Source organism: Homo sapiens, chromosome 2, assembly GCF_000001405.40.
Source record: "Homo sapiens chromosome 2, GRCh38.p14 Primary Assembly".
NCBI lineage: Eukaryota > Metazoa > Chordata > Mammalia > Primates > Hominidae > Homo > Homo sapiens.
Window position 1 is genome coordinate 24,249,690 of NC_000002.12, and position 12,896 is coordinate 24,262,585.

A 12,896-nucleotide genomic window follows, 5' to 3' on the forward strand; every position below is an offset into this window, starting at 1 on the left:
GAAGGAAACTGAGGCACAGAAAGGTACAGTAACTTGTCCAAGGTCACCCAGGCTCTAAGTGTTACAGCTAAGAGTCAACCCAGGCAGTCTGATTCTACTACACCAATGGCTCTCAGCATGTGGTTTGTAGAACCTGGAAATAGTCCTTGAGCCTCTTTCAGGGGTCTGTGGGATAAAAACTATCTTCATAAAAATACTAAGACATTATTTGTCTTCTTCACTGTGTTGACATTTACAGTGGTGGGTAAAATCATTGGTGCTTTAGTGTGAATCATGGCAGTGGCACCAAATGACACTGAAGTATGGTAGTGTTCTTCACCGCCATGCACTCACAGTAAAACAAAGCCAGTTTCACTTAATAATGTCTTTAATGAAACAGCAAAAATTTTATTAAATCTTAATCTTCAAGTCCATACCTTTTAAAAGTTCTGTGTGACTAAACAGAAGTGTGCCTAAAACATTTGTGCTGCATACTAAAGTATGACGGTTGTCTTAAGGAAAGTATTTGTGTGACTAAATTGTCCACTCAACTAGGTTTTTCATGGAACAACATTTTTACTTCAAAGAACCAACAGAAAAACTATTTAGACTTGGGATTTAGCGAACATTTTCTTAAAAATGAAGTAAGCCTGTCCCTTCAAGGAAAACAGCTGGCAGGATTTTTTGCCAATGATAAAATTCAAGATTTCCAGGGAAAATTAAAATTTTAGAAAATTTGTACCTACCACTATGAGTCTGACAGTTTCCTAGTATTGAAAAACTTTTCTGATGAGTGGTGGTATTAACACATACGATTTTTCAGATACTGTGTAATGAAATGTGTCCACACAGGGAATATCTGCATAACTCAGTGATTCAATATTTTCCAAATAAACAACAAATAATGTTATCACATCATGCACGGGTAAAAGATCCACTCAACATGCAAAACAGACTAGTGAATTTTAATGTAACAGTAAGAACTGTTCACCGATAGGGCTTCAGATTCCATGTTGCAACTAACCTATAACGATTCAGCATTTGTCAAGTTTTAGTGTGGTAGAATAAAAAAGAACATTGGTAGATATCTGCAAATGCTATTAAAATACTTCTTCATTTTCTCTCATGTATGTGTGAGGATGAATTTTTTTATACTTCAACCGAAAAAAAAAATGTCACCGACTGAATACAGAAACAGACATGAGAAAGTAGCTGACTTAATTAAGTCAGACTAAAGAGATTTGCAAAAATATAAAACAGCCTGTAATCCCAGCACTTTGGGAGGCCAAGGCAGGTGGATCACTGGAGGTCAGGAGTTCAAGACCAGCCTGGCCAATATGGTGAAACCCCGTCTCTACTGAAAATACAAAAATTAGCTGGGTGTGGTGGCTCATGCCTGTAATCCCAGCACTTTGGGAGGCTGAGGCAGGCAGATCACTTGAGGTTGGGAGTTCAAGACCAGCCTGACCAACATGGTAAAACCCCGCCTCCACTAAAAATACAAAAATTAGCCAGGCATGGTAGCGGATGGCTGTAATCCCAGCTATTCAAGGGGCTAAGGCACGAGAATTGCTTGAACCTGGGAGGCGGAGCTGTAGTGAGCCGAGATCCAGCTTGGGCAACAGAACTAAACTCCATCTCAAAAAAAAAAAAAAATAAAATATATATATATATATATATGTGTGTGTGTGTGTGTGTGTGTGTATATATGTATGTGTATATATATGTGTATATATATATGTGTGTATATATATGTGTATATATATGTGTGTATATATATGTGTATATATGTGTATATATATGTGTATATATATGTGTATATATATGTGTATATATATGTGTATATATATGTGTATATATATGTGTATATATATGTGTATATATATGTGTATATATATGTGTATATATATGTGTATATATATGTGTATATATATGTGTATATATATATACACACACACATATACATATACACATACATATGTATGTATACGTATATATACGTGTGTGTGTCTTGCTAAACTTTGTTTTCATGATAAATACGGCTGTTTTTCATAAAAGCACGTTATTTATGTTACCATGTAATGGATTTAATTATTGTTATTTTAAAATGAATAAATATATAATTTCGCTTTTCAAATTTCTGATACGGTAAATATCATTAGCTATACTGAACATACTTTAAAAAAGCCTATGGGGTTCCTCAATAATTTTTAAGACTGTAAAGTTCCTGAAACCAAAAAGAGAACTTCTGCACTATACCATACTGGTGGTGGATGAAATGAGGCAGGAGCTCATGTAAGCTGAGTCACATTAATGTTACAGTCTTAAAGTGAAAATTGGCGAACTACTTCAAGGTGGTCCTTTTTGTGTTTCTCTGAATCCAGATCTACTTCCTAGCAGTTATCATGAAGCTCAACCCTACCCTACAACTCTTGTTCTTAGAATTTCATGAAATCTTGCCCCCTTTATCTAACTGGAGCCATATAATAAACCCTATTTTACCGGAGCTACTGTGAACAGTTTCTTTGTAACCAAAGCAACCTGATCAAAACCATAAACATGATCTCTAAGTATAAATCTTGATTAACAAGAATGGGTTGATTTTATTTTTAATACCAAAATAATTTAAGTATAAACCTGATTAACCAGAATGGGTTGATTTTAATATCAAAATACCTCTTGATCCTTTGGTTTGACATAGTTTGATGGAAAAATTCCACTTCTATCTCCAATACTTCCTGTCCACCACTCTCCATCTTTCTGGGTCACCAATATTTCTTCACCTTCTGTGAAAGTCAAATCTCCAGGTTCCACACTTGAATATGGATAAAGTGCAATATATTCTGTAGGGAACAAAGCAAAAAGAAGTAGATTCTGGTTTTAAGATTACAGAAGTGAAAAAGAAATTAGGTTATTCTCCAAGACATTGTATAAGTTTGCTGTAAAAGACCTTGTGCCTTCAGGAAACCTAACATAAAAAGATCTAAAGGTAGAAAAAGGAACGAAGCAATTATTTAATAATTCCTTAGAAAAAAGTTATTTGACTTAACATAAAACTTTAGAGTTTCTTTTATTCCCAATTGTTTATTTTTTTATCACAAAGAATTACCCAAAACTACAAACAGATAATAGTATCTCTATAGATAAATACACTGAGGCTTAGTGAGATTAAGTCACTCAGTTATTCAGATAATGGAGTCAAGATAGGAAAATATATTTTTTAACTTTTTTATACCAGAAATAGTTTAATCTGCTATATTATTTTCTCTTTAATTCTTTTAAGTACACAGTTATGGAAACACTCAATACCCAGAAGACAGCAGCACTAGAAGCCAAGCTCCATCCTGATGACCCAGCTCCTAGCACAGTGCTTGACTTGGAGTAGACGCTCGATAAATAGTTGTTAACAAATGACCTCAAGGGAAATATCTAAATTTTTATATCGCCTTTGATTTTTGTTTCTGTGATTGTCACTGCTTAGAAGAAACAGTTGGTGACTTGGTTTTCTAAGTCTTTTTCTTTCTTTCTAGTTTTATTTATATTTGGCCAACATGGAATTTGATCTTAATATCATAAACTTGAGACGATGAGAAACACCACCTACAACCTATTTACTATTCGCATTCCCAGTATTACTCAATTAATTTAACAAAATTCAAAGTGATTACAAGGTTTAGGTACGCTGCAATAAAAGTCGGGTCCTTTCCAACATGCTCCTCACTACTTTCCTAGGCTCAGCTCAGAGCACTCATTCCACAGTACACCTATGATTCAGCTTCACTGGTGACATGACGTTCCCCCGTTCCTTGGCTCATGCCATTCCCTCTGTCTAGAAGTGCATTCTCATCCTTTGTCACTCTGCTAGATCCTACTCATTGTTTAGGATGATGCAACACTGCCATCTCTGTGGATTCATATGTCCTACTCTAAATTGGTTTTGTTCGCTCATTAAAGAATTTATCACAACTGTATGCTCCATTCTATTGTGAGCACTTTGGAAACTTTTATTCATCCTTGTATTTTCCAGGCTCTAGCATAGAATCTTCAACGTAACAGATACTGAATAAATTGTTTAACATTAAACTGATATTTTTAGCAAAACATAAAATGTACCTCAACTATTCAACTAACTTTATAATGGACTTATACATTTCATTTATAAATGTATGTAACTATTAAATAAAAATATCCTCTGAAATTAGGGTAATCTTTCATTTTTCAACACATTAACAAAATCAAAATAATTTACTAATCAAACAACCCAAAGGGATATAGAAAAAAATTCTTTGCAATACTTATGATAAAGTATACCTTGGTCCTCCTTAATGATTCATATGGTACATTGTAATTAAAATGTATAAGCAATGAAATGTATTGAAATTTCCTTACCTCCTAAACATCTATAATCAATAATTGCAACACTTTTTATTTATGATGTTATTCATCAAACCAGTCTATGCTGAATTTTCATAGCACTGCCTTTCTAAAGTGCCAAGTATTTTCACCCATATTTTTTCTATATTCTCAATATTCATGTGAAATAGATAGGGGCAGGTTTTCCTAATCTCACTTTAATACTGCAGACACAGAAATGGGGAGAATATGCAACTATGTGAAGAACAGCAACTATGTGAAGTCAGGTAGTTAGTCAAGAGCTAAATTGATTACCATCTAATTTACAAATTGCCAAAAGCTTACCTTCTCCAACTGAATAGGCTGCCGAGGTAGGTTTCTTATTTACAGCTGCATACAAAGCTTCTGGTCTACCAAATATATAAACAAACAAACAAACAAACAAACAAATACAAGCAAAAATAAGAAAGGTGATTTGATGCACAGCAGGTTTTAGTAGTGCATTTTTTAGGGCTTTCTCAAATTAAATATAGTCTTAGTACACAGAACTGGGAAGACTTATACACAACATCCTGCAGGATTAAGAACAGCCTAATTATAAACTTCTACATTTTTAAATATATTTTTAAAATTTCAATATGATTTACAAATAGTTTTTCAAATGTGAGATATTTCGCCTTTCTAAAGAAACTTAAAAGACACCCACAAATTGTTAAGTGGTAAGCACATATAGGGCTTAGTTTAGTGTAGGAAAAAATAAAGGCAATATATACATTTTATTATTTGTTTAGAATGCACTACATTAAAAAAATAAAAATAATAAAACTTTGTTTTTATTATCTCAGAACAGCTATAACATTAATTTCCATTTTAACCCAGGAATCTGTTTTCAAAAATCTAGAAGACTGTCCTGTTTAACTAGACACCTGTGGGATGCACCAGGCCTCCCTAGGACCTGTGAGTAAATTACACTGTGAGGCAGTTTTTAAATAAACAGAAGGGGAACCTTATTACAACTACTGGTCACAACTGAATGGACTGTCTTGTTTAATGCTAAATTCTCCATTACTGCAGGTTTTCAAGTTATATGCCTTATCTGTTAGAAAACACTAGTAACTGAATGCATAGTTAGAAGAAATGCCCTCTAAAACACTGAAACAATCTGTTTTTGCTTAAGTTTTCTTCTCTGTAAATGTTATGGACATAAAATAAGACAATTTCTATAAAGGAATTGTCTATAAAGGGCCTAGCACAGTGCATGCATACAAATGCCAGCTATATATGGTTGTTGTTACTGTTATTATATTCTTCTAAATCCAAAATTCGGCCAGGTGTGGTGGCAAACACCTGTAATCCCAGCACTTTGGGAGACCGAGGCGGGCAGATCAACTGAGGTCAGGAGTTTGAGACCAGCCTGGCCAACATGGCAAAACCTTGTCTCTACTAAAATACAAAAATTAGCCCGGTGTGGTGGTGCATTCCTGTAATCCCAGTTACTTGGGAGGTTGAAGCAGGAGAATCGCTTGAACACAGGAGGTAGAAGTTGCAGTGAGCTGAGATTGTGCCACTGCATTCCAGCCTGGGCTACAGAGTGAGACTCTGTCTTGAAAAATAAATAAAAAGGGCTGGGCATGGTGGCTCACGCCTGTAATCCTAGCACTTTGGGAGGCCAAGGCAGGCAGATCACCTGAGGTCAGGAGTTCGAGACCAGCCTGGCCAACGTAGTGAAACCCTGTCTCTACTAAAAATACAAAAATTAGGCTCATGCCTGTAATCCCAGCACTTTGGGAGGCCAAGGCAGGCAGATCACCTGAGGTCGGGAGTTTGAGACCAGCCTGACCAACATGGAGAAACCCCGTCTCTGCTAAAAATACAAAAAAATTTAGCCGGGCATGGTTGCACATGCCAGTAATCCCAGCTACTCAGGAGGCTGAGGCAGGAGAATCGCTTGAACCCGGGAGGTGGAGGTTGTGGTGAGCTGAGATCGGGCCATTGCACTCCAGCCTGGGCAACAAAAGCGAAATTCCATCTCAAAAACAAAAAAAAACAAAAATTAGCCGGGCATGGTGGTGGATGCCTGTAATCCCAGCTACTTGGGAGGCTGAGGCAGGAGAATTGCTTAAACCCAGGAGGTGGAGGTTGCAGTGAGCCATGATTGCGCCACTGCGCTCCAGCCTGGCCGAAAGAGCGAGACTCCATCTCAAAATCAATCAATCAATCAATCCAAAATTCCATGTCAGGCTGAAAAGCAAATTTTTAGAAACAGCACTACCTTCCAGAAACACAGAAACTCAGCAGTGAAAGGGTCTTTAAAGATTATTTGGCTTAACCTTTTCATTCAGTCAATTAGAAAACTGAAGATTAAGTAGGTTATTCCTTACAGCCTGGCAAAAATAGCAGAGCCAAAACTCAAGCCTCTTGATTGCAAAAGACCAGCATCTTTTCATCAAATCAGACTGCTTTTCTACCAACTTCCATATAAAACACAAGAGACAGTTACCCATAGCTATATTATAGTACTTATTTCCTTGTATTATTATATTCGACAACTTGACTCCCTACAGAGTAGGAAATAAAGGTCAGAGACCTATCTAGTTTTTAGCTTTTTTCATTTGAAAATTCATTCAATTGTTCATTCATTCACGCCTCTCTTCATTCACTCAGCTAATATGATTGAGCAGCTACTATGCATGAGGATTAGAACAGGCATGAAGAAACTGAAAAATGAACAAATAAAAAAAAAGACATGCATCCCAGCCTCATTGAGCTTATGATCTAATAAGGGACATTGGTTTAAAAAAATCAGTAACTATAATGCAGAGTGCTATAAGCAATAAGAGAAGTTATATTCAGGGAATCTTGGAGACTCAGAAATGGGAATGCCCCAATTTGGCAAAGAGGAGGCCCTCAGTAAAGAGTTACTTAAATATTGACAATTTATAGTAAACAGGGGAGAAATGCTTGAAAGAAAATGAAAAGTAACTTTTCTAACTGATTTATGGTACAAAGAAGTGGCCAGGTGAGGTGGCTCACACCTGTAATTCCAGCACTTTGGGAGGTGGAGGCAGGAAGATCGCTTGAGCCCAGGAGTTTGAGAACACAGCCTGGGGTAACACAGCAAAACCCCACCTCTACAAATAATTTAAAAATAAGCCAGGCATGGTAGCGTGCACCTGTGGTCCCAGCTAGCCGGGAAGCTGAGGTGGGAGGATCGCTTAAGGCTGGGTGGTCGAGGCTGCAGTGAGCCATGATCCACCACTGCACTCTAGCCTAGGCAACAGAGTGAGACCCTGTCTCAAAAACAAAAAAAGCAACAGATCTATAATTTTGAGTAGCTTGAAAATTTTATGAAATCTGAAATAACTAGAATGAAAGATATTCTAAACTGAAACAAATACCTGAGGTATGCTTTTTTCATCCTAAGAATTACCTTTCTTTTTTCTTTTTTTTTTTAATACGGGGTATCACTCTGTCACCCAGGCTAGAGTGCAATGGCGTCATCTTGGCTCACTGCAACCTCTGCCTCCTGGGCTCAAGAGATTCTCCTGCCTTAGCCTCCCAAGTAGCTGGGACTACAGGCATGTACCACCATGCCCGGCTAATTTTTGTATTTTTTGTAGAGACAGGGTTTCACCACGTCACCCAGGCTGGTCTCAAACCCCTGGGCTCAAGTGATCTGCCTGCCTTGGCTTCCCAAAATGCTGGGATTACAGGTGTGAGCCACCACGGCCGGCCAGAATTACCTTTCTGATATTCAAACTCAAGTATAAAATTGTTATTTTATTATACACTCAATCAGACCATGGCTGACTCATTAGTGAAAATACCAACATCCACATCTCATGAAAACACATAAAGATGCTTACTCTTCCCGTTTTACTTCACTCCCAGGAATGATCTTGACATAAGATTTGGGAAACCATCCTCTTCCTCCATGCACCTCCCCAAACCACCAATTTTCTTGCTGCTCCAAGACAGTAATAATGTCATGTTTTGAGAAGTTCAAGTGGTTATCTTTCTTTGCAGTCCAGGAACAAAGGGCCTGTGCTTTTAAGTTTTCTACCACTTGTCCCTATGAATACAAAACCACCAAAAATTTTTAAAAGGCAATGGTAACTATGATTTCTGTTTCTGTGTATATAACATACTTACTGTTCAAACAGCAGACCAGTTTTGTGTCGTGGTGACTTAAGATAACCTTAGTCTACTAACTGACTTTAAATTATACATGATAGACAACTATGTGACTAGCCTTCTGTTAAGACAGACTGAAAACCCACCATTCAAAGAAACCTCATCACATCACTGGTAGAGAAGGTAAATAATGTGTACTCAAGAAATGTATTCACACATCCATGAAATACATATCATGGAACAAATGAAAAAGGAATGTTACTGTAAATCTTTTTTCTCTTCCAGCTTGCAATGTAATTCTGTTTACTCCACTAGGGAAGGAAATTGGCATGCTTGGCTCCCTCTGTTTCTCTGCTTTTCTCTTAACTTCCTCCTATTCTATTCTATTCATTCTTCTTTCTTTCCCTCCTCTCTCAAAGGAAGGAGTGTTTTGTTCCTTTAATAAGGCTAAACTCTTCACTTATTCTCCAAGTCTTCTATTATACCCTTTCATTTTCTAAAAATATTTAAGTCCTTCTCTTCAATCTACTTCTCTACTTGCTTCTACTTCTGAATTCCTTAAATGATAGTCTTAAACTTTTTTTCCAATTTCACTCCTTGATCACTTCTAATTTAGGTTCAGCACTCATCACACTACTGAACCTCTTCCAGACAAGGTTATTAATAATAACATCAAAGCCAAATGCTTCTTCCAAACCCTTATTCCTCTTGATCTCTAAACAGCTAACATCAAGCCTTGTAGTTCCTGAAGCTGACTCTCTGGTGATTGATGGCTCCTCTTTTGTCCAACCCTTTTCCCTTACTGTTCCACAGGACTTCCCTAAATACTCTTAATTATGCCTATGACTTCTCAAACCTATATTTTCAGTGTAATTTTATCTCCTGATCTCCAGACTTGTATATCAAACTGCCTACTGGGTGTTTCTACCAAGCTGTCCCTAATACACATAGCTTAAACTTAGCATGGCTGAAACATAATCATTTTTAGAACCTACCAAACCCATTCCTCCTGCACTGTCTACCAAAGACAAGGATACTACTATCCTTTTGGTTGCTCACGCTAAAGACTGAAGAATTATCTTTAACTCCTATTTCTTCCTCACTCTCCACATTCAATGGATTATCTATTTAATATCATTTCCTAATAATCTTCTAAATCTATCTCCTCTTTCTTATATCTTAATTACCATAGCACTTGTTCAAACCATCATCTCTTGTTATTTAGCTATTGTAATATCCTTCCTTAACTGGTTGTTTTCTTCTGCTAATCCAGACTTTATGTTAGTGCCAGAATTATCTTTCTAAAACATACACAATAACTCCACTCTTAAAAATCCTCAGGGACTTTCCACTACCAAGTTGCCTAGCACGGTATTAAATGCTTCCCAAATAAACCTCAACCTCTCTCTCCAACTTCGCTTAACCCTTTCTCCATGAATCCTGTATTCCAGCCATATTATTAACAATGCTTGTTTCCTGCAAATATCTTGTGTTAACATGCCTTGGTGACTTTCCCCAAATTGTTCTTTCATGGGAATAACTTTCCTTCTTTGTTGGGTGAAATCTTATCTTTGAAGACCCTACTCAAATACCTTGCCCTTTGTGAAGGCTGCTCCAATTCTCACCAATTGAGTAAGATGATCTCTTCTATATATACCCCCTACAGACCTTGTAGATATCTTTAATACAGCATTTCTCATGCTTTACAGTTATTTATATGTCTGTCATGTTCATTAGATTATGATCTACTGAATGGTGAGTTTCTGGTTTTTAAAAATTGTTTTAGAGACGGGGCTCACTCTATTGCCCAGGCTGGAGTACAGTGATATGATCATAATTAATTGTGCCTCAAACTCCTGGTCTAAAGTGATCCTCCCACCTCAACCTCCCAAGTAGCTAGTACTACAGGCACATGCCACTATGCCCGGCTAATTTTTAAATTTTTTGTAGAGATGAGGTCTTGCTGTATTGCCCAGGTTGATCTTGAACTCCTGGCCTCAAGCAATCCTCCCATCTTGGACTCCCAAAGAGCTGGGATTATAGGCACTGAGTCACTGTGCCTGGTGTCAATGTCAGGTATTTTTTGACTTATTTTTTCCTTAAATTTCTAGCACATAATAAAATGCCTGGAACCTATGGCCATGGCATTTTTTGAGTGAAGGTGAAATCTGGAGGACTTTGGACTTTATTCTGATGAAGTCTGCAATTTAAAAAAATAATGTTAATGTAACCCTATTGCAATAGTTATATCTAAATCAGAGGCTAAATATACGTTAAAAAGTTCTAACGTTCCCAAATAACTTTAAGAAAAAAAAAAAAAAACCGTCAAGCCCAAGTCTCTCATCTTCTTATTATAATAACTACAAATCAAGAACAATATATCATGAGATTTGTAAAAATAACATTTTGAGCTTAGAAACCTTAGCTGCTAGCAACTTGGTATTATGGAAAAGAATTGTTGAGAAACCTAGGCCGGGCGCAGTGGCTCACGCCTGTAATCCCAACATTTTGGGACGCCAAGGCAGGTGGATCACCTGAGGTCAGGAGTTCGAGGCCAGCCTGGCTAACATGGTGAAACCCCGTCTCTACTAAAAATACAAAAATTAGGCATGGTGGCAGGCACCTGTAATCCCAGCTACTCAGGAGGCTGAGTCAGGAGAATCTCTTCAACCAGGGAGCCGGAGGTTGCAGTGAGCCGAGACTGCACCATTGCACTCCAGCCTGGGCAACAGAGTGAGGCTCCGTCTCAAAAAAAAAAAAAAAAAAATTGTTGAGAAACCTCTAAGTAATAGTCATTTCTTCAACTTCACATCACATGTGAATAAGAAAGAAACTGAATGCTACAAACTCTGGTTAAATGAGTGAATGGTCCTTTGTATATAATTTTCATTCTATTTTAATCAGGAGCAAATTCAAAGAATAAAGCCCACAAAAATAACAGACAACATACCTGTCCATGAATAGGTGATACAGATCCAGGGGACACAGTTCGAGTGAAGGCTGATTTTTTCTGCCATGATGTATTTACAGTTAGGTTTGAAAAAGATACATTTTGATAATCAGTCACTGATGCTGGTTGATTTGAAGAAAGTGGTCTGCAAATATAACACTTTGATATAAGTATATTTATTTGTTTAGAACTTAATGAAGTACTACCAATTTATCAACTTACATATTATATACACTGTGCTTACACACAATTTGTGGGAAAAGAAATAATTATTAACAAACTACTGACCCATGTTTTCACTTACTAAATTTCAGTATTAAATCTGGAACAAAAAGTAGTCTTGAAGAGTACAACCCGGATTACACTATGATGAAGTAGTAGGCTGACACCATTATATATTAGGTATTTACACATTTGCAGATCTATATAAACTTTACTGTTAGCTAAAAACTTACTCAGAGGAAGTTGAGGTAGCAGATAAAGAAACTGTAGGAGGAAGTAAGGCCTTCTTTGGAGATACAGCTTTTTCATTTTCACTTGATGGCATTTTTTCTACATAATTGCATGGAAACCAGCCAAAATTTCCTTGAAAACTACCATAAAGCCAACCAGGTTCTCCTACGGTTTTTTCATCAACCTACGGAAATAAAAAGAAGGATTAACAGTGCTTAGAAATTCACACATTTACAATGGAAAGAGATGAAAACTATTGTATAGTATTCTCATTTTCAGAATTAAGCCCATCTAACTAAACAGCTAAGGCATTTTCTACAAATTAACAGCTACTATTTCCAGTGACTGGCAAGTTGTCTTTTTAATTTTAATTTTATCCAAGTTACATGAAAATATTTTACAAAGACAAATAGCATTCATTATATATGGCTAATGAGGGAAAACAATCCTCCCCTATCTCATGGCTCCTTATGCCCTGATTTTCACTCCTGACCTGCCATTCTTCCTGGTTTCTTCTATATCACCATTTATATTTCTGAATAACATATTTATACTGCTTTTTCTTGAATTTTTTCAATTTTAGACATTACTGGCTTTTGGCTATGGGAAATGAAGATTGACCTCTCTTTCACTGTAGCCTCTTACTCTACCAATACTGTTATAGCTTAATCTTTATTTAAATTTATTTAATGTTTATAATATTATGATTATGTTTAAATATTTCACATCTGAGTCATGCAGCATGCTGCTGATTAAATTTCCTTTTTTGTAAACTTTTTATTCTCCTATAATCATTACTTTTTTTGTTTTTGGCTTACTTTTTTCTGTTCCTGTTACACAGTTTTTTTGAACTCTCTAACAGAACAATAAGATCTTCTCTGAATACTATTTTCCAACTGGTAAACATGTCAGGTGATTTATCAATTTCATTGCTTCTCCCAGACATTTTCATCCTACAGTGTGACATCCTCCATCCTCACAGTGTTTCTCCCTCTGCTTCTTGGTCCTTGTTCCTTAAACACTAAGG

At 36.6% G+C, this 12,896-nt stretch overlaps 1 protein-coding gene across 28 annotated transcripts in view, besides 1 other annotated feature; it reads right to left on the reverse strand.

The window, feature by feature from the left end:
- The window catches only part of ITSN2 (intersectin 2), a 158,505-nt gene that overhangs the window by 46,826 nt on the left and 98,783 nt on the right, over nucleotides 1-12,896 (reverse strand). For 25 of the 28 annotated variants that reach the window (XM_047444586.1, XM_047444582.1, NM_001348182.2 and 22 more), the window contains 5 exons: nucleotides 11,872-12,053; nucleotides 11,417-11,561; nucleotides 8,199-8,404; nucleotides 4,678-4,742; nucleotides 2,656-2,822 (listed from right to left, as the gene is read on the reverse strand). In XM_047444586.1, the coding sequence (XP_047300542.1) occupies nucleotides 2,656-2,822; nucleotides 4,678-4,742; nucleotides 8,199-8,404; nucleotides 11,417-11,561; nucleotides 11,872-12,053 (765 nt within the window). The other 3 variants (XM_047444594.1, XM_047444593.1, XM_047444592.1) reach the window with 2 other exon arrangements.
- Nucleotides 3,017-4,216: an enhancer, noted in NCBI's record as "BRD4-independent group 4 enhancer chr2:24475575-24476774 (GRCh37/hg19 assembly coordinates)". NCBI's record gives its function as "activates an origin of replication core promoter dependent on BRD2, P300/CBP, MED14 and CDK7 cofactors, and independent of BRD4, by STARR-seq in HCT116 cells {active_cell/tissue: HCT116}" and the evidence as "EXISTENCE:reporter gene assay evidence [ECO:0000049][PMID:35650434]".